We start from the raw sequence: 22,474 nt of genomic DNA on the forward strand, positions 1-22,474 counted from the left end.
CTCGCTCTGTCGCCCAGGCTGGAGTGCAGTGGCGGGATCTCGGCTCACTGCAAGCCCCGCCTCCCGGGTTCACGCCATTCTCCTGCCTCAGCCTCCCAAGTAGCTGGGACTACAGGCGCCCGCCACTACGCCCGGCTAATTTTTTGTATTTTTAGTAGAGACGGGGTTTCACCGTTTTAGCCGGGATGGTCTCGATCTCCTGACCTCGTGATCCGCCCGCCTCGGCCTCCCAAAGTGCTGGGATTACAGGCGTGAGCCACCGCGCCCGGCCAGGATAGTTTCTGATTGCCTCACATGGAAAGTTAAAATGTAATCTCTCAGAGTTTTTGTGATGTCTAAATGAAGGCTATATAGACAATTTTGATTTTTAAGTTGTTTTTCTTTGTTACTTCGGGTATCAAACTGGGGATAGTGTGGAAACCACCAGTTCCTGAGGTAGTTGTGGCTAGGAAATTCACTTGTATACTAAAGAGCTTCATTTTTTTGTTTGCTGTGTAATTAGAAAGTAACTGGGTCTATGCCTTTATTCTTTGCATGGCAAGGTTTGCCTTGTTAGATACCAGACAAGGTAGCACCCCGGATATTTGCCAGGCATATTTATCCTTGTCAAAGGCACATTGGCAGTAAATGACACTGAAGGATCCTGCTTGGTATGACTTCGGTTATCAAGTAAACTGTTGCAGAGTTGTTGGGGGGATCCAGATATACCCCCATATCATCTCTTGCTTCACCTCATCTCTGACCCTAGCCCCTGAGTAAATAGGTGGGTTCTGCTGGGGTCCACTTCTTGGTTAGCTGTTCCTTCTTCTGACTGAGTTGTAATAGATAGGACTGGCCACTTTTTCAAACTAATCTCATCTGTATTGTATCTTGCAAAAATTCCCCTGTCTGTAGCATGTGACTGACCCTTTTCATTGATTTCTAGCACAGTATAGTGTTCTTCGTACTTTTATCTTTCGTGGCTGATAGAGGGAATCTAACCGTTTGCCGTAGAGGAGATTAGATAAGACTGCTGATGTCAATATTGTGCTTGGAAGATGTTTCTTCTGAATCTCAGTGGGGGGTTCAGAAACTTATCACCTCTCCAGTAGCTTCCCATCACACTGAGAATAAAATGCCAGCTCCTAACTGTGACCTAAAAGAGCTTCCTTCTCCCACTTCATCTCTGACCACTCCCTCTTTCTCTTTGTACCCCAGCCATACTGACCTTATTGCTCCTTAAACAGGCCAAGCTATGTCCTCCTCAGGAACTTATGCTACTCGCTGTGCTTTCTGCCTGGAATGCTACACTCCAGATTTTTACATAGTTCACTCATTCATATCATTCATATCCCTACCTAAATGTCATTTCAGAGAAGTCTTTATAACACCTTATCAGAAATAACCCACACAACTTCTACATCCTTAAGCAGCTTTGCTTTTCTTTATAGCACTTATCACAATCTGAAATGCTATTGTGTTTTTTGTTTTGGTTTTGTTTGAGATGGAGTCTCACTCTGTCGCCCAGGCTGGAGAGCAATGGCACGATCTCGGCTCACTGCAACCTCCACCTCCTGGGTTCAAGTGATTCTCGCGCCTCAGCCTCCTAAGCAGCTGGGATTACAGGTGCGCACCACCATGCCTGGCTAATTTTTGTACTTTTAGTAGAGACGGGGTTTCACCATGTTGGACAGGCTGGTCTCGAACTCCTGACCTTAGGTGATTCACCTGCCTCGGCCTTCCAAAGTGCTGGGATTATAGGCATGAGCCACCATGCCTATATGAGCCACAATATGAAACACCCATATTGTGTTTTATCTGTATACTTTTTAAACATTTGTTTTCTTGCTAGAATGTAAGCTCTATGGGGTCAGGGACTCTTGTCTGTCTTGTTTCTTACTCTGTCCCCAGACAGAGTCCCCAGACTCTAGAATAGTGCCAGGTGCCCAATAAGTTTTTGTTGAATGAATAAATAAATGAATGAAAGTTAGCTTAAATTCTTAAGAGTTAAATGGGATTTTGGCTATAACCTCACCATCTACAAAGCCTGGGAAAAGAAAAAAGAAAAAAACTAGTGCTGAATCCAATGTTTAGGGTTTTAGTGTATTGCTTCTTCTTTAAAGGAAGGAGATGGTGCCTGAGACTAGCCTGGGTGCTGAGACCACAACTCAGGCAATTTAAGTTTATGAAGGCCGATCCCACCCTACCCTTTCCAAAACTCTAGGACTACTTGCTGGAATGTGTATTCTAAAATCATACTTCTGAATATTTTTGAAATTGAAGTGCATCTTATAATAAGTATACTCATTTATTTTGCTTTTTTCCCCTAAAAAGCTGTTAAGGAAAGCTAGGGATATGGTGTGTCTTTTATAATTGAAGGCTTCTTCAGTTAAAAAAGACAGTATTTTACAAAATTCCTCATTTATAGAACCTTAGATTGATAATGTTACAGCTAGTAGGCATTAAAGATCCAGTGAATTTTAAAGCCTTTTCCATTTTTTTCCCCTCTTAAGCCTGGTCTTTTTGGAAAGAAATCTTTAGAGAAACTATAAACAAACCAGTGGATAAAAGCACAGTGGGGTGATAGGTGACTCAGCACGCTCACCCCTCCGCTATGCTGACCTACACTTTCAAGGGAGCTTCCGGGAGAGTAATTTGAAACTTAATGGAAAGATACAAGCCGGTTCCTTCATCTTTGGCTGGTGCAAAAACCAGTGTTAAAAGTCTTTTATTAAACAACAACTTTATGAGATATAATTGACATAATAAACTGCATATATGTAAATATAACATTTGGTAAGTTTCAACATGTGTATACACTCACGAAGCCATCACTGCTATCAAGACATTGAACATATTCATCATCCCGAAAAGTCTTCTTATGCACCTTTGTAAATTCTTCCTCCCTACCTCACCTCACCTCATCCCCATCTCCAGGCAACCCTTATTTGCTTCATGTCACTATAGTGATTAGTTTGCATTTTCTGCAATTTTACATGAATGACATCATACACACTTTTTTTAAATCTGGCTTCTTTCAATCAGCATAATTATTTTGAGATTTATCCATATTGCTGCACATATCAATAGTTTTTTTCTTTTCATTGCCGAGTAGTATTCCGTGGTATGGGTATTCTCAATCTGTTTGTCCATTTGCTGCAGATGGACATTTGAATGGTTTCCAGTTTTGGGCTATTACAAATGAAGCTCTATGAAGCTCTATGAATATTCCTGTATGAGTCTTAATATGGACACATGTTTTCTTTCATTGTTTTTGTGTAAATACCTAGAAGCCGAATGGCTGGATCTGATCATTGGTATGTGTTTAACTTTTCAAGCAACTCCCTACTTGTCTTTCAAAGTGGCTGTACTGTACAATAGTTTCAGTGGCTACATAACCTCACCAACACTCAGTATGTTCAGTTTCCTAAAAGTTTAGCCATTCTAATGAATGTGTGGTAGTATCTCATTGTGGTTTTAATTTTCATTTCCCTTATGACTAATAATGTTAAGCATCCTTTAATGTACTTATTTGCCATTGTTACTGAGCAAAAGAGGCTCCTTTCCCAATGTGCTAGAAGCCAATGCTATGATACTGGGTTTTTGAGAAAAGAAAAACTTTTTTTTTTTTTTTTTAAGACAGAGTTTCGCTCTTGTAGCCCAGTCTGGAGTGCAATGGCTCGATCTTGGCTCACTGCAACCTCCGCCTCCCGGGTTCAAGTGATTCTTCTGCCTCAGCCTCCCTAGTGGCTGGGATTACAGGCACCCACCACCACACCACAGCCAGCTAATTTTTTGTGTTTTTAGTAGAGATGGGGTTTCACGATGTTGGCCAGGCTGGTCTCAAACTCCCAGCCTCAGGTGATCTACCCGCCTCAGCCTCCCAAAGTACTGGGATAACAGGCGTGAGCCACCGTGCCCAGCTAAGAATAACTTTTGATTGCAGGTCGACCAACAAGGAGACAGGTGTCCAACTCAAATCTATCTCCTCATGCTGGCTATAAGGCAATACTTTTATGAAGGTTTAGGGGATGGATTCTGGGATTTACCCCTGATTGGTAGAGGGAAAGGGGAGGTCTGGAAAGTCCTCTGGCATGCAGTTATCTCTTCATGCTACCTCCTGGAATACATGTGCAAATTTGGGGGAAGTTAGTATGAAACATGCAGTGGAAATTCAGGCTGTGATGTCAGCAAGCTTGTTCTACACAGACTCCAGTTGGCCATAATGGTTCCAACCGATTTCAGCCAGTTGTTATCCTACAAGCAGAGAGAGTTTTCGTGTTTCAGCGAGTTGTTCCTTTTCTTATCTGCCATCCTGAAAACTGAAGAATTTCTGTGTCATATTTTTCTTTAATCATTTGCGACACTGTTCCACAATCTTCTCTGGTGGCGTGTTTGTAATCGCTACTTACGTTTTTTAATTGCCCTCATTTTTGTTTTTGTTTTTAAGATTCTGCAGTAATGACAATTTTTTGAAGCATTGTCTATGCTATTTGTCTATTCTAAAATTTTGTTGACAGAACTACTAAATAAATAGCATTGTTAATGGGAAACGAAGGAGAACTGTGTTAATCTAACAGAGAACTATCACAATAGGTTATTTATGGCACAGACAGAGGCTGTTTACACTTATTCAGGCTGGTAGAACTGACGGTGAATGGGTGAAAATGATGGCATATTATTGGGAGGCAATGGGAGATAGTGAAAGAAGCCAGAAAGGGGAATATTGATTTTTGCCCCATCCAAAGTCTCCCCTCCCACACTGCCTATATTATGCCAACCCTTCATAGTCTTTCCCCATCTCCCCAATTTTTTCATTATTATGGATTTTTTATTTTGTAGCAAATATGTTAAGGAGATGAAGACTAGCTCAGCAGCAGAATCTAGCTATTGGCTATTCATTGAGATAAGCTTGCCAAGAATTTTCAATAGTGGACCACGTGATCAGAAATCCATGTGTTGGCAAAATAAAGTTTATATTGATTTCAGTATTAGTGCATAGCAAGTTTTATGTTAAAAATAAGAAGAACTTTATACAAAAGTGCAGTTATAAACCTAGAGTTTGAACTTGTCCTCTAGGAAGCACGTAGTAGAGTGAGGACACTGACCTAGGTTGGGGACAAAACTGTCATTTTGTCATGGAGTAGAATGAATGTGATCCTGGGGAAAGGACTGAAGGGCTTGGGCAAAGGGGAAGTGAAGATTATATTCAAGATGAATAAGAAGAGCAGAAGCCAGCTCTCCTCCCGTTTCCACCTTGGTCTGGAGAGGAAGAGGCGTTTCTGCCACCCCCATCCCCTCTGTCTTCCTTACTTTTTAACTTCTTCCAGAGGGAGGAGGAATTACTCAAGTACTCAAAGCACAAGGCAATTACCAAACCACATTTCGCTAGAGGGCAGAGTCTCTAAGCTGATGTTCCCTCATTGGCAATTACAGTCCCCTTATTGCAGCACACTGGGAAAGGGCGTGGCCGTTCTCTGTCCTGTGCATATGTACTATGTGCATAAATTGTATTTGGTCTGTTCCAGATCTTTTCATCACCCAGGGTGGAAGTGAGGGAAACCTTCCTTAGGTTTCCAAACCTACATGGTATAATTTGATTTGGTTTAACAAATATCTCTGCCCTGGGAGAGAAATGGGCGCTTAGTTAATAAAAAGGTATTTTATTTTCTATTTGGTATTATTCTCATGTGCATATTCCTTAATTAGAAATCCCTGAGTGGTAGGATTTCATCTCCTAAACTGAACCCCTGACACTAACATAATTAATCTTAAACAAAATTTCTATCCAAAGGGAGCCAAAAAAAGAGGCAATCTTTTTCTAAGCTTGTATCTAAGCCAGAAGGACTACAACTAGGGTCAAGGTAACAGGACAAGTTCATAGGGTAGATAGTGAAACCAGGTTCCCTTCGTTGCATCATCTATGGAAAGAGGACCATCATTTATCCATTCACCCACTCATCAACCAATCCATCCTTTCATCCATTCAGTCGTTAACACATTTCTGAATTCCAGGCACTGGGCTAAGACTTCATAATACAGTAATAAACAAGTTGGTTATTGTTTGAAGGAGGATGGAAAAAAATGGGGAAAGAGGGTGTATGTAAATTTGTCATGAAATATATATATATATATATATATATATATATATATATATATATGAGTCAGAGAGAATGGCTCATGGCTCATACATATATTATATATTATATATATATAATGACTCATATATATAATGACACACACATACACATACACACACACACATGAGTCAGATAGAATGGGAAAGATGGCACAGCATTTTCTTCCACCCTTGACCTATGTTGGAGCCTACAACAGAGTGTACTCATGAGAAAGTTTTTGAGATTCTGGATGTAAGCTGTACTGATTGGAAGATCAAGTGACAAAACAAAGCAACAGTTAGAAAGAGGGTCATTGTTTCCACTTTCCCCCAGGACCAAGTACTGACCTGTAAAGTAGATATCACTAGTATTCACCAAAATCTGTTCTTCTCCCTTTTCATATACATGAACCTCTCTGCACTTTTTAGCCCTCTTGCAGTTAAAGTAGAGCCATATTGATTAGTTCCAGCATTTGCAGCCTGAAGCAAAGAGCTAGTGAGTAACCACCATCAAGTTATCAATTTAAACCTGCTTAGTTGACCAGGGAGGCTTCATGGAAAACAGCTGTCCTAAAGGGTTGCCCAGATCTCTGTTAGATTTTGTGTCAGCAAGAAATAAACTTTTATCATGGTAAGCCACTGAGAAGACACTGGGTCTTGCTGCACCAGTCTACCACAGCCTGGAGAACTGATATTTGGGGAAGCATTAAAAAATAGTACCCCTGGCATAGGCACTGGTGGTTTCAAAATAGCTACTATAAGTGGGGGTAAAAGAGAGGCCTTTCCAGTTACTTTGCAAGGCAGTGTGGAGCCAGAACAGGAAAGGAAAGATAAAATCGATGCTCTGTAATGACTGCAGCTAGCAGACTTCTTTGTGCATACATACATGTAAGGTAGCTTTTTGCAGACTCCCAGAAATATTTAGTAGGACTTTTGGGGCTTGAGAAAGAGTGTTATCAACAAAGGAAACTCTGCATTATTTAATCTTAACATGACTGCTTACATCCAAAGACTGGCGACACATGGTGTCTTTAGGTGCTAACTGAGCTGTGGGATCGATTTCATTAGGGAGAGGTCACAATTCTGTTTCTAGTTGGCAGGAATGATTTTAGTTCCTGTCTTCATCCTTATTCCTTTCTTGAAGAGTAAAGGGTCACACATTGCTCAAATCTCTAGAAATTTCAGGATCTCCTGGGATTCATGTCAGACCCCCCTATATCTTTTCTGGGATACTGTGTTTTTTTGGAGAAAATAATTTAATTTCATTATCATGGTTTTTCTTCTTGAAACTGAATACAGACAGGAAAATACTTTCTGATGCAGATGTATTAACATTTGCATGCCAAAAAGAGCTTCAGAAATTTACAGCATGGTTTATACTATACATCAAAATCCATATGACTACTTTCTAAAATTGTGAATTTATTTTCAAAAAAATAAAAAGCTCTTCATGGGCCCCAAATCATCAATTCAAGACAATTCCACAATAGGTTGAAAATAAGCACAAGCTTCCGTTGCTATCTGGTCAATCCCATGTCCAATCTGAATTTGATTATCTGTATTTCCTTGAAAGTAGCAACAATGATCTTATTGTTTCCATGATGTTTCATGTTCAGCTGTTCAGATGTCCTATCGTATGAGAAAGAAAATGCAATCTAATGGGCCGCCAGGAATCTAAGAAGCTATGCCTCTCAAAGCCCTTTGATATCTTCAAACAATTAATCTTGTAGCAGCTAGAATATATTTTCAGTAATGTGCCTAACTTAACTATATGACTATATTAAAATAAATCTCCATGTTACTTCAATTTCTAAATAAAATGGCATGAGCAGAAAGGATATTAAAAATCTTGATCACTTCCCCCAGCAACAGGGCAGTTGCTGTTCACATTTTACCCAAGAGCTATCTATGTGCCTCTTCTTCCTAGCCAACAAAAGCCCCATCTTGTTTAGATGGTGGGTAGGGAGCCAGTGAGATCATAGAAGATGGGCCCCTATCCAAGCCCCAAGAGAATTAATTGCAACTGGGCTTGTTCTGTTTTCCTTTGCCTGTGATTGGTCTAGGAGTGGGCATGTGGCCTATTTCTGGCCCTATGAAGCAAAAGGAGAGGTCTGCTGGGAGACTTCCTGAAACTGCTCTTCCTGGAAGGAGGGAAACAAACAAAACAACAACAAAAGAACTTTACAAGAGAAAGCTTTTTATCCCAGCCCCTTCCTACTCCCATTGAATGCAGCTCTGTGAGGACACGATATTTGAAGCTGCAGTAGCTGAGGTGGCAAAAGATGGCAGAACAGAAGAGCAGACAGAATCTGGGTCCTAGATGACTTCATTGCACTGCTGCAACTGCCTTCTCCAGACCTCTTGCCAGGTGAGAAAATTAAATGTCATCATTGCTTAAGCCCCTGGGAGACTAGATTCTGTTACTTGCCACTGAATGCATCCTAATGCTGTAACTGTCTCTTGCACTGAAACCAACTTGCAAAATTTACAGCACAAACTCTGCCCATGTATGAAGAGAATGTAAAAAAGCATTGCAAACATCTCTTTTGGGAAAATAAATGGATAACACCATTTTTTCTTTTCATTTGAGTTGTCCTATCTTTGGCAAGTGAAAGCTGAAAAGCAGAATTTTCACATATAAATCAAATTTCCCCATTTCCCTCCTGGCAAGGGGTAAGAAACTCTTAGCCCATACATGCTTTCTAATTAGTTAAGAATTGGATTTCAAGCCCTACTCTTATTGTTCGGTTTATTCTGCTTAGTTCATTCAGATAAGAGAATCCTTGAAGGTAAGGTTTAGGGTAGTCAAACAGTTATGAACAATGGTTGTGAATTATGACATATTCCAGCATTTTGGAGCAGCAGCTTAGTCAGCTATCCTCAGAGCCAGTCTGAGGACTCTGACCAATACCAGTGTGGGTTGTCTAAACAAATTAATTTTTAAAAGTAAGGAATGTGTCTTTTCAGGCCTGTGGTTCCCTATGGAAACACTGACAAGAACAGGTGGAAGAAATATGTGGTCTTCGGTTAAAAACTCTTCAGGGTTCAAAGAAGGGCACTCTCACATCATGTGATGGGTGAGCTCTAGTCATTCTGTGAGAGGAACTCCAGGAGACCAGATCCAACTCGCAATCAGCTATAGTGAAGTTATGATATGAGAAGCACCAACTTGGCACAAGACTTGGGAAAGGCAATGAGGCAGCAGGCAAGCTTTAAGGGATGACACTTACCTTGAGGGAGCAAGGACAAGTTGTGACCTTCCCAGTCCTCTCTCCATTTGCAGATCAGCAAGCTTCTGTCAGCAAGGAGGGGTGGACAATGAAACTGGGTTCAGCTTGATTTGTTTTTTGAGACAGGTATGGCAAGGGGCTGCCAACAAGGTAAGTCATCTTTGGACAAGCCAAGTGCTTTGGGAAACAATTGTTTCTGAAAATAAGTGTTTGTGTCAAACATTCTCTTTGTTAGTAGGAGACATTTTTGTTGGATCATGTTGTCCTCAGCAAAAGAGGTTGCAGAGAAGTTAAGGAAGTTGGGATAACTTAGAGTCTCAGTGCTTTGGGGCAATTTACAGACAGCACTGTGTGATCCTCCCATCTCAGGACTTACATCATGTTGCTAACTCCCTCACTGGGGGCCATGGTTCTGAAAGGAAGAAAGCATGTCTTATTCACTCACCTTTGAGTCTCCAGCACTGAGCACAGCACCTGTCACTCAGTAGGCACTCAATAAATGTAAATTGATATGAAACATGACACGTGGTGCCTTTTACAGAACAAAAATTAATTTGTCCTAAAGGCCTCCAGGGATGCAATTCTGAATTTTAGTATGTGTCTACCTTAGGGTTGAGGTTAATGTTTAAGTGTGACAAGAAAGGGTTAGTTTGGCTGAAATAGTTCTTCCTGTGGTATTAACTGGTAAAATGAAATATAATGTCATTCTAATCTCTTCCAAGCCTTTCCTGATTCAAACATGGAAATGTGTTTCTGCAGATTGGGGCGTTTCAGCTAAAGGTTCAACGAGATTAAAAAGGAGAAAGCTTGAGTCGTTTGAGTCAATATCACAAACAGGATTTAGGTATTCATTAAGATAAGGATAAACTGCTAAATTTAGGTTTACTCATGATTAATTTGTTTGATGTATTTCCTTGCAGAATAATACATGAACTAGATTTTGAATGTGATACAGACACACACCATTTTTTACAATATATAGCTTAAAAATTTAGATGTATTCTATGTGTACAATCCAGAAAGGAGATGAAATCCTGCCTCCTCTTTTATAAACTTATTTGGAGGGGGAGCTAAATGGAAGCCAAATTTTTGCTGAACTCAAATTGGCCATGGATTCTGGATACACTGGGGCTGGAGAAGGGTATGGTTGAGAAGGACAAGAGGCATTGCACAAACACATTCCTGGAAATAAATCTACACAGACTGGTTGACTTGAAAACTGGTTAATCAGAAATTTTGCCCTGCTTCGGGTAAAGCTAGAAACATTGAATCCCAACTCTGTGAGTAACATGCCTAATAGGAAAACTGAAAATTCTGTGTATTTCTTTTCCAAAATTAAATGGCAGCCAACGTTTGCAGAAAAAAAAAAAAAAAAACAACCACAATGGGGAATTAGATTACAGCTGTTTGCTTAAAAATTGATAACTGATTTTGTTGTTTCTTTAATGGAAATATTTGTATTGTGCATTCTTGTTGTTGTCTGAAGAAAAATGGTGAGAATATTACAGTGCGACTGCAGAATACAAGTTTGATAGAACTAATCTGATTTACCTTAGATACACTCCTCATTCGGGAGAATTTATTTAACTGGTAATTTAATTTAGGTGGAGAGGCACTTTAATTGGAGTTGATTACTGTGGGATTTTTACATAAAGTACGATGCACTCTTGAGTTACAGCACCACATGATGTAAAATTGGGTAATTTTAAGCCACTGGATATTTTTATCCCAACTATAATAGAATTTGCTGAAAAATGCTTATTAACTGAAACTGTTTTCTAGGTTGGATACTATTTGGAAAATCTTTGGCACTATGTCAAAGATGGTTGGAAATTTACTAAAGCTAGCAGACCAAAAAACAAAACAAAACAAAACAAAAAGACTTAATTTATTAGGACTGCAGTGGTGATGTGTTGTCACTTCAGGACACCCCACTACCTGAATTGCAGCAGTGTTGCGAATCATCACTCTGCAGTGAATGGGAATTTTTGGTTTAGAGTTTAACAGATTTTCCTGGTCTTTCTCCTAGCGACTGACACAGAAATACGAAAGAATAAAATGATTCCAAAAAAAAAAAAAACACCTACATTAACCATTTGGGGGTAAAAACGATGAAAATGTAAAGGCAAATGATGAATTTATCAAAAAGAATGAAGGAACAGATAGCATATGTATGTAGGAACACAGTAGCTTTAAAATATCAGAAAGATGAAGGACAGAAATGCCAAGTGAAGCAGAGGGTTTCTACATTTGTCTTCTGCTTTTGCATGTCCCACATTCCCTTATGTAATAGATCTTTAATGGATTCCCTACTGTCACAGAACCTTTATAAGACCAGCCTATGGAGAATGCAAAGGAACTAAATAATGGACAGTTAACGTTCTGGAAAAGCAATTTATTATCTTGCTAGGAGCTGGCTTCTCATTGCATTTAGAATAAACTTTAAACAGCTATATCATCTTCCAGGCCTGATATGATCTGGCCCCTGCAAACTTACCTTCACATCTTCCACTCCCATCCTCATTCTTCAGGCTCTAGCTACACTGGCTTTCTTTCATCCTTGGACTTTCTACACTGGTTCTTTCTGCAAGGCTTTGCACTGCCATGCTCTCTCTCTGGAATGCTTTTCCTTTGACTAAATTTTTCCATGTAATTCAGGTCTTAGTTCAATTTTAATCTCCCCTAAGAGATTTCCCATCCTATCTAAAGCAGTCTATGCCCTTCCCTATCCCTAGGTCCCGCAATCACATTACCTAGTTAGATTTCCTTCAAACCTCTTGAAATTCCCTTATTTATTCTTTTGAGTTTTTTTCCACTTCACCTTCCCCATAGAACATGAGCTCCTCAGTGTCAGGGGTCTTCTGTTTCGTTCACTGCTATATCCCCAACACCTAGAATAGAACATGACACACAGTGAGCCATGAATGAATGAGAAAGAGTACAGGACTCACAGTGGAACTGCCTATGAACAAAAGGAATACTGGACAAAAAGAAATGGACTAGGGAAGAAAATCAGGAAGAAGAGGAACAAAGAATGGGGTCTAGGGACTGAGAATTGGTTATAGTGTACAATTTTAGCCCCTATAAAAAAGTTTTTTACATGCATTCCAAGCAGAGGGAATGGCAAGTGCTAAGAGGAAGTCTTTCCATCACTACACACAGCTGTTTTTTACTTTGTTGTTGTTAGTGGTTTTGTTTTCAGTGTGTGTGTTGGGAGTGGGGGGAGGATGGGTGTGAGGGATCTCTGCGTGTTTCTCTCAGGGGAAGGCTGGGTTTTCTCTTTCAGCCTACAGGTGTTGCTGCATGTTCTTGGGGTGGCCAATGGAGCACTAGACAGGAATACCACCCATGGCAGCTCTGCAACTTATTCTAAGACTTTTAGGGCAAGAGGCAGGAAAGAGTGAAGGAATGATCACCACATTGTACCAGGGGTATACCAGTGAGAGGTAAGATGATCTGGGTGGTAGCAGTGACCCCCACTTTTTTTACCCAGAAAAAGATGGATAAATGCTCTGACATTGCTGTGACCCAGGGATCTGTGGCCATGGTTGCTTGTGCAGGCAGCAGCCAATACTTCTGAATGGCTCCCTTGGGACTACAAAACTGTGTGTGGGCGCAGGGAGCCCATACTATTTGCCACATCAGAAAAATCCATTCATGAAAAGGAAAGACAGAGAATGATAAAAGTCTTCTCAGAAAGCCTTAGCAAAATGGGTGCTTTTATTTTCACAGACATGTCTATGCAATACACTCAGTCACAAGAGAGAGCTTCTTAAGCCTGACCATAATTTAAACTCTGAAAGGTGAGTGAGCCTGTTAAGAGACCTCCACCCTTCTAGTAACCTATATCCCTTGATATGGGAAGGATATCTTAGTTCTCCCTAGCCCCTTGCTTAGGATTAAGTGAGAGACTTCAGCTTTGGTGTAAAGCTGTCAGCTGCCCTAATCAAGGACAATACACAAAAATTAGACTCCTTATAAGAATAAGGGATTAAATGGAGGAAGATCTAGAAGTGGGTGGGAACAAAAGAGCAGAACTGAGCCTGCATCTGCAGAAAATGTCCAAAGACAACTGGCAGAGTTCACTCCATGGGGAAAAGGCATGTTAGTGTGTAGGTAGAGAAACTGGACAAGGAAGGATGGCCTTAGCCTTCCATAATGGAGAAGTCGGGCAGGGGATGTCTGCATGCAATAGACAACTGAATTAGAAAGAGCAGAAATGTAAACCAGCAGTGCTTCCCTATCTTGGGCCTGGCTAGCTTAAAGGGGCTCTACTGTCATTGGTCAAAAAACTTTCATGAGGAGATCCAATCACTAATGCAACAAACTCTAATGAGTTCTAAGTTGGAGAGAGCTCAGTTCTAAAGCTTGGGGGTAGACAGGTCACTGAGAGAGGAGGAATGAAGGAGTGGGATCTGAACATTGTAATAAGTCATCTAGTAGCTCTGATCACTTTGGACATTGCTGGGGGATACATAACAGCTCACTATAACATTACAACACATACTTATATCTGTTTGCTCCTCCAAACTAACATGACAATGTGTTTCTGCCATCTTAGCTTACAGAGACATGATCTAGTTCAGCTTATACTCAGATTTTACAAAAGAGACTTTGACCACATAGATATTCATAAAATTAATGTGGTTAAGAAAAAAGTGCAGGGGCTTGAAGTCAGAAGAGCTCCGTTCCCATTTTGGCTATGCTGCTGTTCAGGTTTGTGACCTGCAGAGCAGTTTAGCATCTCTGGGTCTCAATTTGTTCATCTGTAGAGCGTGGGTGATCAACCTTTATGTAATCCTTCTGTGTTGAGTGGGTCTCAAGATGGAAGCTCACTATGGGAATTTAAAAGCAAACTGTGGCATCGAAACAAACTGGACAATTGCTTGAACTCTAATATCATCATCCATCCTCATAAAGTAACTTGTTGGTCACTAGTCTGACAGTACTGTTAAAAGACATTTATTTGTAACTTTTGAGAAAATAATTTTCAGACTCTGATCTTAGAATAAGCTCATGAGGAGTCTCATTTCCAAGCTGGAGATCATTTCCAGTTTGAATGAACAATTCTTCTTTTTGGCTTGGGTGAACGTGGGGATAGGTGAAAGCTGAGCTGCACATCCTTCAGAGGTCACAATGAAAAGTCAGTCTTTATTCTAGCAGGGCTTGGTCATCTGGAATAGCTGGTACATAGGTGGCAGCTCCATGCCCTATCTCATACTTTAAACAACATCACCAATATCTTTTTCCGAAATAAGCTTGAGTTGTATATGTTTATTATAGGAGAGAAAAGTTTGCCAAGCGTCTTCTATGGACTAAGCACTTGCTAGGTGTTTTACATATATTCTGCCATTTAATCCTCAAGGCAACTTTAACATGTAAGTATTACTGTCCTCATTTTACAGGTGAAGAAATTGAGACCCAGAGTGATTATATGACCTGCCCAAGGTGGTCACGTCGTTAGGCCATGGCAGAGATCTGAAATAAAAGGTCAGGTCTTCTGACTTCAGTCCATGATTTTTTTTTTTTTTTTTCTATAACATCATGCTACCTAGAAGAAAAAGAAATGAAGGTAAGCAGTCAGCCAGGAAAGTCAGGAAAAATGATATGCTACTTGTAAAGAGCTCCCCTATATTGTATCATTCTGAAATGTCCAATTTTCAAAGAGTCAGAGTAGTACAGAAATGTTCAATGTTAAATCACTACTCAACATAAGCAATCTGACTTTGATGGTTCACAAGCTCTTCCAGATCTTGTCGTGCCTTAAAGTTCTCACTAACAATATCAATTATCAGTGCACTACAGATATATAGGAAAAGAAAATCCCAGGTAACAGAAAAGCCAGATCACCTGCCTCCAAGATGCCGGGCACTGCACGGCTTTTATCAGTTTTTATTACATCAGGTCAAGGAAACAAATGGAATCTATCCACATGGTCCTGCCTCGTTGGGCATATATTCTAAACATACATCCATTTTCATACCCAATGAGAAAGAACTCAATTCCAAAGGATCTCACCTTTCACAAAATTCTACCCTTAAGATCCTAAAACAGTCATATCACTGTGCACAAAATTTTTGGCAGTCACAAGCTCTAACACAAAGCAGAGCTTAAAAACAAATGGAGAATATAATCAGTGTTCAAATGCACCCTCACTGGGTGGGTCAGACTGCATGAGGCAGTGTGGCTGTGTGGAGGGAGAGGTCCGGACCTGTGGCAAACTGCTGCTCCTGCCAGGAGGCTACCAAAGCCAAGGCTCTTAACATATTGAGGTTCCTCAGCTGCCCCAGTGCCTATATCTCTAACAACAGTAAACAGTGAAATACCTGCAGGCAACCATGTCTAAATAAAGAGATAAATATTTGAATCTTCAAGAAGTGGCCAACTTCAGAAAGGCATCTCTTGGCACCCTAGAGGAGACTGGGATGAAAGTTGTACCGGAGACTGGAGAAGAGCCCGATGTGTTTCACGAGGTTCGGCTCCACTACATAGGCCCTCTCTCCCTTGGCCCTCAACAGCGAGTACAGTGCCATGTCCTTGCCAAAGCCCTTGTGGCAGTACACTTGGGACAGGTAGGTGAGGGTCCGGCGGGCCGCAGGTGCCGGGAAGAGCATGGCTGGGGTGCAACACTGAGAGGCAGGAACCACACTGTACAGGGAAGGACTCAGCCGCCGCAGTTCCAGGAAATAGTGCCGACCCACCAGCTCCACCAGACCCATGCTATACAGGGAGAAGAAGAGCATTACAGGCCAGCTAAACCCTGGGCGGCTGGCAAACCTCATGTATATCCAGGTTAGTAAGGGCCCCAGCAACATGCCTACACCAACCCATTCCAGGATCCGCATGGGCTCTGGATTGATGTAGTGCTGGAGCCTCTCGGGGTGATACAGCTTGAGATAAAGGGCATCTCTGAGATGTGGCTCAGAGAAGCGAGCCCGCAGAAGGTGCTCCAAGACTGGGAAGATCTGCTCTTCTGGTACAGCATCGTCTTCTACCATCAGGACGTAGTCTGGGTTGTAGGTCTGCAGGGATGACTCCAGGCAATAGACATAGTCCTGCTTCTCTTTCTCAAACGAGTTGGTCGAAGGGTCATCACCATAATCATCCTCAGTGCCCTCATAGCGATTGGCCACAGGGACATACTTGGAGAGCAACTTGGCATCAAAATGGCTCACACTACGCTCCACGTTGCACAGGAAGAGTTGGTGCCCCTCGCACTGGGGGCCACATTGCTGAAGAAGCCGGTGGAACTGGGACACAACCTGCAGGACGTAGTGGAAGCCAGGCTGCCTGTCCACAGTGATGATGGTGATCACCAGCCAGGGCCGGGGGGTGGCCTGCCAGACAATGGGCACTGAGCCATTGGCAGAGGGAAGCTCCTCAAAATAGTGGAGGGCAGCCTCACCCTCTTTCAAGCTTTGCTGCAGGAACTCTTGGCTCATTTGGTTCAGATGCCAATGGCGCAGATAGAAGTAAGAGTGTAGAAGTCGGTGACAGGCCAGGGGGGCCAGCAGGCCAAACGTCACCACTGTTAGGATGAAGAGCTGGACAGCAGTGCTGCCCCAGGAGAGTCGCCGCAGCCTCCGGAGGAGCATGGCAGCTGGAGAGGTTGAAGTGCTCATGAGGTCAACTTTTGTTCATGTCTGGTCCCAAGAAAAAACCATCCTGGAACTCAGGCCAGAGTCATCAGAAATCAAACCTAAAGAGAGAGGAAGTAGGGAATGGTAAGAGTAACTTAAAAAAACAAACAAACAAACAAACAAAAAAACAAAAGGACAAGAACTGAGCTCAGCACATATCAAACCAGAAATTATAATAGGAGGCTCTGTAGCTTCTACAGACTCTAAAGTATTTTCTACAGTAAACCATTCTTTGGTTGTGTCTGCTAACAACCTCTGGATGTTTTTATTATTTCTATGAGTAATACGATCTCGGTGCATTCAACCAAATCATCACGCCTAAAGATACTTAGTTAGGTTTACAATGCCAGAAAATCTCCAGGTAGGCTGTTGGGATCATTATTTCTATTCACCAGCTACACAGACAATGGGTTCTTAAAACGGGGGCAAAAAAGCAAGGCTTGGCACAAAGGAAATATACACATTTAGAGCAAGTTCCAGAATAAGGGCCCAGAAAATACTTGTTGATTAACTGTGCATATAGCAATTTCCAAAAAAAACTTGTCCAACAAGAGAAGGAATACTTAGGATTCTCTGAAGTATCTTTGTTATTTAATGTCATTTTCCATTCATATGCTTCTAATCTCACACAACTATACTTAACATTGCATATTAATTTAATCCTGATTGTTCTCCCATTTTATTTTTATAGATCATGGGAACCAATGAGAGGAAGTATTTCCCATAAGCAAGCAAACTCTAGAGCCCCAGGCTTGGGGAGGGAGGAAACATCTGGAGGAAGATCCATGAGTAGCTTTTCAATGAGGGAGCGGGGGGGGAAAGGCAGAGGTGAATATGGAAGAGACAGTTGCCCTCAGTTTGGTCCAGGAAAAAATGCTGTGTGATATGATGATTCAGAGCATGGGCCTGAGGCCAGGCTCATATTGGTGTGAATCCTAGCTCTGCCTCTCATTTGGTGGGAAGTTTACCTCTCCATATCTTATATTTCTTAGCTCTAAAATGGAAATAATAATATCTGTCTCATAGGGTTACTGTGAATATTAAATGTGTTAGAAAGCAAAATAATGCAGAGTAAAAATGCCATTAAAATCTATCCATGTGTTCAAACTCACAAAAATATTTTAGAAGTAAGCAGGTCTAATATTCTGATGGAAAACAGACTAGTGCCAAAAAACAGAATGAAAAGGGCAAAGCCAGTATAAAATAATAATTGCTAGTAAGGTCAATGCAAAACTAAATGGTGTCTGCAGTACAGAAAGTAAATCTGTTGCCTCAGACGCATCATAAGGTTTACACACATTTGGAGGAAAACTGTATAGTTTGTGAGTTATTGCAAAGGGAGGATTGCCCAGGAACCATACGAGGCTGCTGTGGAGCAGACTCAGCCAGTGCTCTCATATCCATGGTCTCCCCTTGGGCACACAGAAAGACCTCATTTCCTAGTTTGCCTTCTCCAGGTGGAGTCATGTGACTAGGGCTTGTCAGCAAAGTGACAGGTGTCACACCTGGGACAAGGTAGTTGAGAACAGATGTGCCATCTCGACTTTCTCTTTCCCCATCTGCCAGCTGAATGGAGAGCCCTGGTGGATCTAGAGGAGGTACAGCCACCAGATGGCAGAAGCCTGGGTCCTTGAATCCTTTACATACATATCCCAGTGTTGGGACGGCATGGAACAGATGTCCCTTCCGCTGCCCACCTCCCAGTACCCTCCCAAACTAGAGTGGACTGTGTTGTGAGCAATACATAAACCACTGTGTCTAGACACCAATAATTTTTGGACTTTATTACAGCAGTTAGCCTACTCTGCCCTCTACAGTTGTGTAGAATACCAAATGTACAGTGACATGGTTAATTTCTCAAGTAGAGAAACAAGTTTCATTTCAGCCACAGAAGCAGATTGTACTATGGGACTCCAAAGGTGAGACAGACTATCCTAGTACTAAGAGATCTGGATAGTACCCAAAGAGGGAACAAAGCAAGGAGAGGTTTGAATTATGCAACCCCAGTCTTGCTGGTTTGTGAACATCCAGCATATTGCAGACTGGTTGCTTCTTCCTCTGCTCTGCTCAGCGCAATGGAGTTAACAAACCATGTGGTTGAACGTGATTGAACGTGGCCTCACCACTTCCACATCACTGCTGATGGAAGCCAATACTAGAATTGGGCTGAACTCCCACTCCTGCAGTATTGGCCTTGGAAAAGGAGGCATTCGAGTGGATTTCTGCTCATACTATTATCCCTGCCTTTGTTATTACCACAAGGGAGCTGGATCAATCTAGAGGAGGGAACTAGAGACAATGAGATAGGGCAGGCAGTTTGGAAAATGCCAGGCACATAGTAAAGGCTATCACTTACTATGATATGTCAGGGGGGAAAGAAATGGAAACACCTAGAACTGACATCAGGAGAACCTTTGGTCCCAGGGAATTTATCCTACTGGGGACAATAAAATCATTAACATCTCACATAGTCCTTTACTTTAAAACTACGTCTGTGAGACTGCTGTTCTACTGACAATCAGGAAAAGAGAGGGATTTGGTTCAGAGGACACATGGTCCCTACCTATATTGATCAGCTTTGCTGGGGTGATTAACAGCCTCAAATCTTTATAACTTAAAGTGATAACATGTATTTCTTGCATACGGGTTTGTGGATAGCTGTGGCTCAGTTGGGGTCAGCTCCAGAATGTAGGTCAGAATTAGCTCATGCCACATGCCCCTCCTTCTAGATCAAGCTGCAGAGGAAACAGCCACCTGGGGCGTGTTCTTACGTTGCCTGGAAGCTGCACAAGAGGCCAAGTCAAAACATGCAGGTACATTTACATCCTTGTTTCAGTGTGCCACAAATCAAGTCCACTCATCATTCATTGGCCAAAACAATGGGACAGGAAGATTTACTCCTCCCACAGAGCAGAAGGAGGGGAAAATGAAGATTCAATAGAAAAAAAAAAGGCAACAGGCCAATTTCTAAATCCTCAGGAGAAAAGAAAGCATCTAGCAATCTGCTCACGGAGTATGGAAATTTTTTTTAGAATGCTTACAGGGCTTAAGACCCGGCCCCCAACCCCAATCATTACACACTACACGAATAAGGACAGGCTTCAGTAATGATCCCCAAAATCTCAGTGGCTTATAAGAACTAAGGTTTAATTCTTGTTCATAGTACTTGTCCTTTACAGGTCAATTGTGCCTCTGTTGCCTGTTGTTTGTACTCTAGGACCCAGGCAGATAGAACTGTTTTTTGTTGTTGTTGTTGTTTGTTTGTTTGTTTGTTTTTAACATTGCTGGTTTTGTGGTAGAGAGAAAAAAGGGGAATAGTGCACCACAAGCTGGCTCTCAAAGCCACTGCTCAAAAGTGACACAGATCACTTCCACCCACATTTCACTGACTGGAACAAATCACATAATAACTCAAATTCAACAGAGCAGAAGGGAGTGCCAAAAGATACATGGCCACACCTGAGACCAATGACTGGAGAAATATTTGTATTCCAGGGAGGGGCAGAAAATGTACTCCAGGGAGGGGCATTTTGAACATTAATGCAATCTACCACACCCACCTAGGACACAGGAGCTGGGATCAGATCCTTCATTCAAGATTAGATGACTGCTTTGCTGAAAATCCAACCACATGGAGTTATGTAGTCATTCAGGAGTATGTTCTTGTTTACTTTTTAAAACATTTTTTTAAAAGATTTAACCAATTGTTGCACAGTAGCCTGTGGTGTCCAATGGCACCTATAATTTATTTCACCTTACTGATCTGGTTTTAAGAAGAATGGCCAGCTGGATGTGGTGCCTGAAGCCTGTAATCCCAGCACTTTAGGAGGCTGAGGCAGGTGGATGGCTTGAGCCCAGGAGATTGAGACCAGCCTGGGCAACATGGCAAAACCTAGTCTCAACAAAAGATACAAAAATTAGCCAGGCATGGTAGCATGTTCCTGTAGTCCTAGCTACTCAGTAGGCTGAGGCAGGAGGATTGCCTGAGCCCCAGCAGGTCGAGGCCGCAGTGAGCTGTGATCGCACCACCGCACTCCAGCCTGGTTGACAGAGAAAAACCCTGTCTCAAACAAAAACAAACAAACACACAAACAAAAAAAGATAAAAGATAAATGGCCTTAGGGGAACAGATATAAAAACATAGGATTTTTCACTGCTAGTTTGGGGAAGGAGTTTTTTTACTCCCAGCCCAATCATAAGGGTGAGACAAGAGGGCTATGTCTATGTTACCACTCTGATTGTCTTTTTCCAGAATTCCAGTTGCCCATGATGTCACAGGCTGAGGCCCACACTCCAGAGACACTGTGGACTGACTGGCACCTATGAGCTGACCTAATAACAGTTACACCATTACAGCTCCGATTCTACAGAACAATACATATCCAGTTCTTATCTATGCTTTGCATGTGCTCTTTGAAACACAACCCTTCCCTAAACAGAATTCTCTACCTGTTACCATATCTAGAGTGTAGGGCTCAGGGAAGACAGTAAAGGACACAGACTCTGAGAAATGAACATGAACTAGGGCTTAGATGAATAAATGGAGCTACAACAATAGTTATATTTTAGTGCAACTTCTGAAAATTAAACTAAAGGATCCACGGGTGTGGAAGACACAATACCAGGGTGTGAGTCAGGGGATGAGTGCTCAAGAATGTTCTGTGTTTCCCAAATCCACTATATGAATGGCACGACCACTTTCCCAGGCAACTCAGTCTAAAACACTAGTTAGTTCTAACTTCTCACCTCCACGCAGTCACTTCCTAATCCCACCTCTACGGCCTCTTTTATTATGCCTCTCTTTTCCCCTCGCCTTCCCCTTGTCAAGCTTTCCTCCCTGCCACACTCTAGTTCCTCCTCAGCACCTCCAAGCCAGCTGATTGCAACAGGCTCCTAACAGAGCTTCTGACCTCCAGAATGAGCAACACAAGCCAAAAGATCTAGGTCCAATTCTCGTCCCAACACTCACTAATTTGATCAATTTGTATAAAAAAATCATTTATCTCTCTGAGCCTATTTTATTTCTCTGTGAAACAGGAAAATAAAAGATACTTCAACCAGGCGCGGTGGCTCACACCGGTAATCCCACCACTTTGGGACGCCGAGGCAGGCGGATCACGAGGTCAGGAGATCGAGACCATCCTGGCAAACATGGTGAAACGCCATCTCTACTAAAAATACAATAATTAGCTGGGTGTGGTGGCACGTGCCTGTAATCCCAGCTACTCAGGAGGCTGAGGCAGGAGAATCGCTTGAACCAGGTAGTCGGAGGTTGCAGTGAGCCAGATTATGCCACTGCACTCCAGCCTGGCAACACAGTGAGACTGTGACGATGAAGAGACAACAGCTATGATAGCCCTTTGTCAGGCATAGGACACTGTGCAAATGATGGTGATGTTTTACTTGATCAGCATCCATCTGATACTCTGAAGCATAAGTCAGAACATGGCACTCTTTTCTGTAAAACTATTCAATGATTCCCCCATGACTGTAGAATAAAGTCCAAA

General features: G+C 41.9%; 1 protein-coding gene and 1 long non-coding RNA gene across 9 annotated transcripts in view, besides 4 other annotated features; one reads left to right on the plus strand and one right to left on the minus strand.

Annotated features, from left to right (window-relative positions):
• Nucleotides 1,079–1,595: an enhancer, noted in NCBI's record as "H3K27ac hESC enhancer chr9:104223504-104224020 (GRCh37/hg19 assembly coordinates)". NCBI's record gives its function as "activates a minimal SCP1, AML or CMV promoter by ChIP-STARR-seq in naive H9 embryonic stem cells {active_cell/tissue: H9 hESC(naive)}" and the evidence as "EXISTENCE:reporter gene assay evidence [ECO:0000049][PMID:30033119]".
• Nucleotides 1,596–2,112: an enhancer, noted in NCBI's record as "H3K27ac hESC enhancer chr9:104224021-104224537 (GRCh37/hg19 assembly coordinates)". NCBI's record gives its function as "activates a minimal SCP1, AML or CMV promoter by ChIP-STARR-seq in naive H9 embryonic stem cells {active_cell/tissue: H9 hESC(naive)}" and the evidence as "EXISTENCE:reporter gene assay evidence [ECO:0000049][PMID:30033119]".
• Nucleotides 2,500–2,644: an enhancer, noted in NCBI's record as "145 bp enhancer 257 fragment used in the MPRA reporter construct; PK_construct_3839". NCBI's record gives its function as "activates an SV40 promoter by MPRA in HepG2 and K562 cells {active_cell/tissue: HepG2 | K562}" and the evidence as "EXISTENCE:reporter gene assay evidence [ECO:0000049][PMID:23512712]".
• Nucleotides 2,567–2,577: a transcriptional cis regulatory region, noted in NCBI's record as "NFE2L2 motif; enhancer activity is reduced when this motif is scrambled". NCBI's record gives its function as "necessary for full MPRA enhancer 257 activity {active_cell/tissue: HepG2 | K562}" and the evidence as "EXISTENCE:site-directed mutagenesis evidence [ECO:0005528][PMID:23512712]".
• Nucleotides 8,296–21,363, plus strand: TMEM246-AS1 (TMEM246 antisense RNA 1). 4 transcript variants are annotated; one of them, NR_121573.1, is made up of 4 exons: nucleotides 8,296–8,465; nucleotides 14,733–14,899; nucleotides 19,697–19,780; nucleotides 21,220–21,363. It is a non-coding gene; the product is annotated as a TMEM246 antisense RNA 1 (long non-coding RNA). The 4 variants fall into 4 exon arrangements; NR_121576.1 differs by lacking the exon at nucleotides 14,733–14,899; NR_121574.1 differs by lacking the exons at nucleotides 8,296–8,465; nucleotides 14,733–14,899 and adding an exon at nucleotides 9,179–9,477.
• The window catches only part of PGAP4 (post-GPI attachment to proteins GalNAc transferase 4), a 60,517-nt gene continuing 51,069 nt past the window's right edge, over nucleotides 13,027–22,474 (minus strand). For 4 of the 5 annotated variants that reach the window (XM_024447701.2, NM_032342.3, NM_001303108.2 and 1 more), the window contains one exon: nucleotides 13,027–17,026. In XM_024447701.2, coding sequence (XP_024303469.1) covers nucleotides 15,738–16,949 — 1,212 coding nt within the window. In that variant the 5' untranslated portion in view covers nucleotides 16,950–17,026 and the 3' untranslated portion in view covers nucleotides 13,027–15,737. Of the gene's footprint in view, nucleotides 17,027–20,527; nucleotides 20,583–22,474 lie in introns of all 5 variants that reach the window. The other variant, NM_001303107.2, reaches the window with a different exon arrangement.

Source organism: Homo sapiens, chromosome 9 (genome assembly GCF_000001405.40).
Source record: "Homo sapiens chromosome 9, GRCh38.p14 Primary Assembly".
Lineage (NCBI taxonomy): Eukaryota > Metazoa > Chordata > Mammalia > Primates > Hominidae > Homo > Homo sapiens.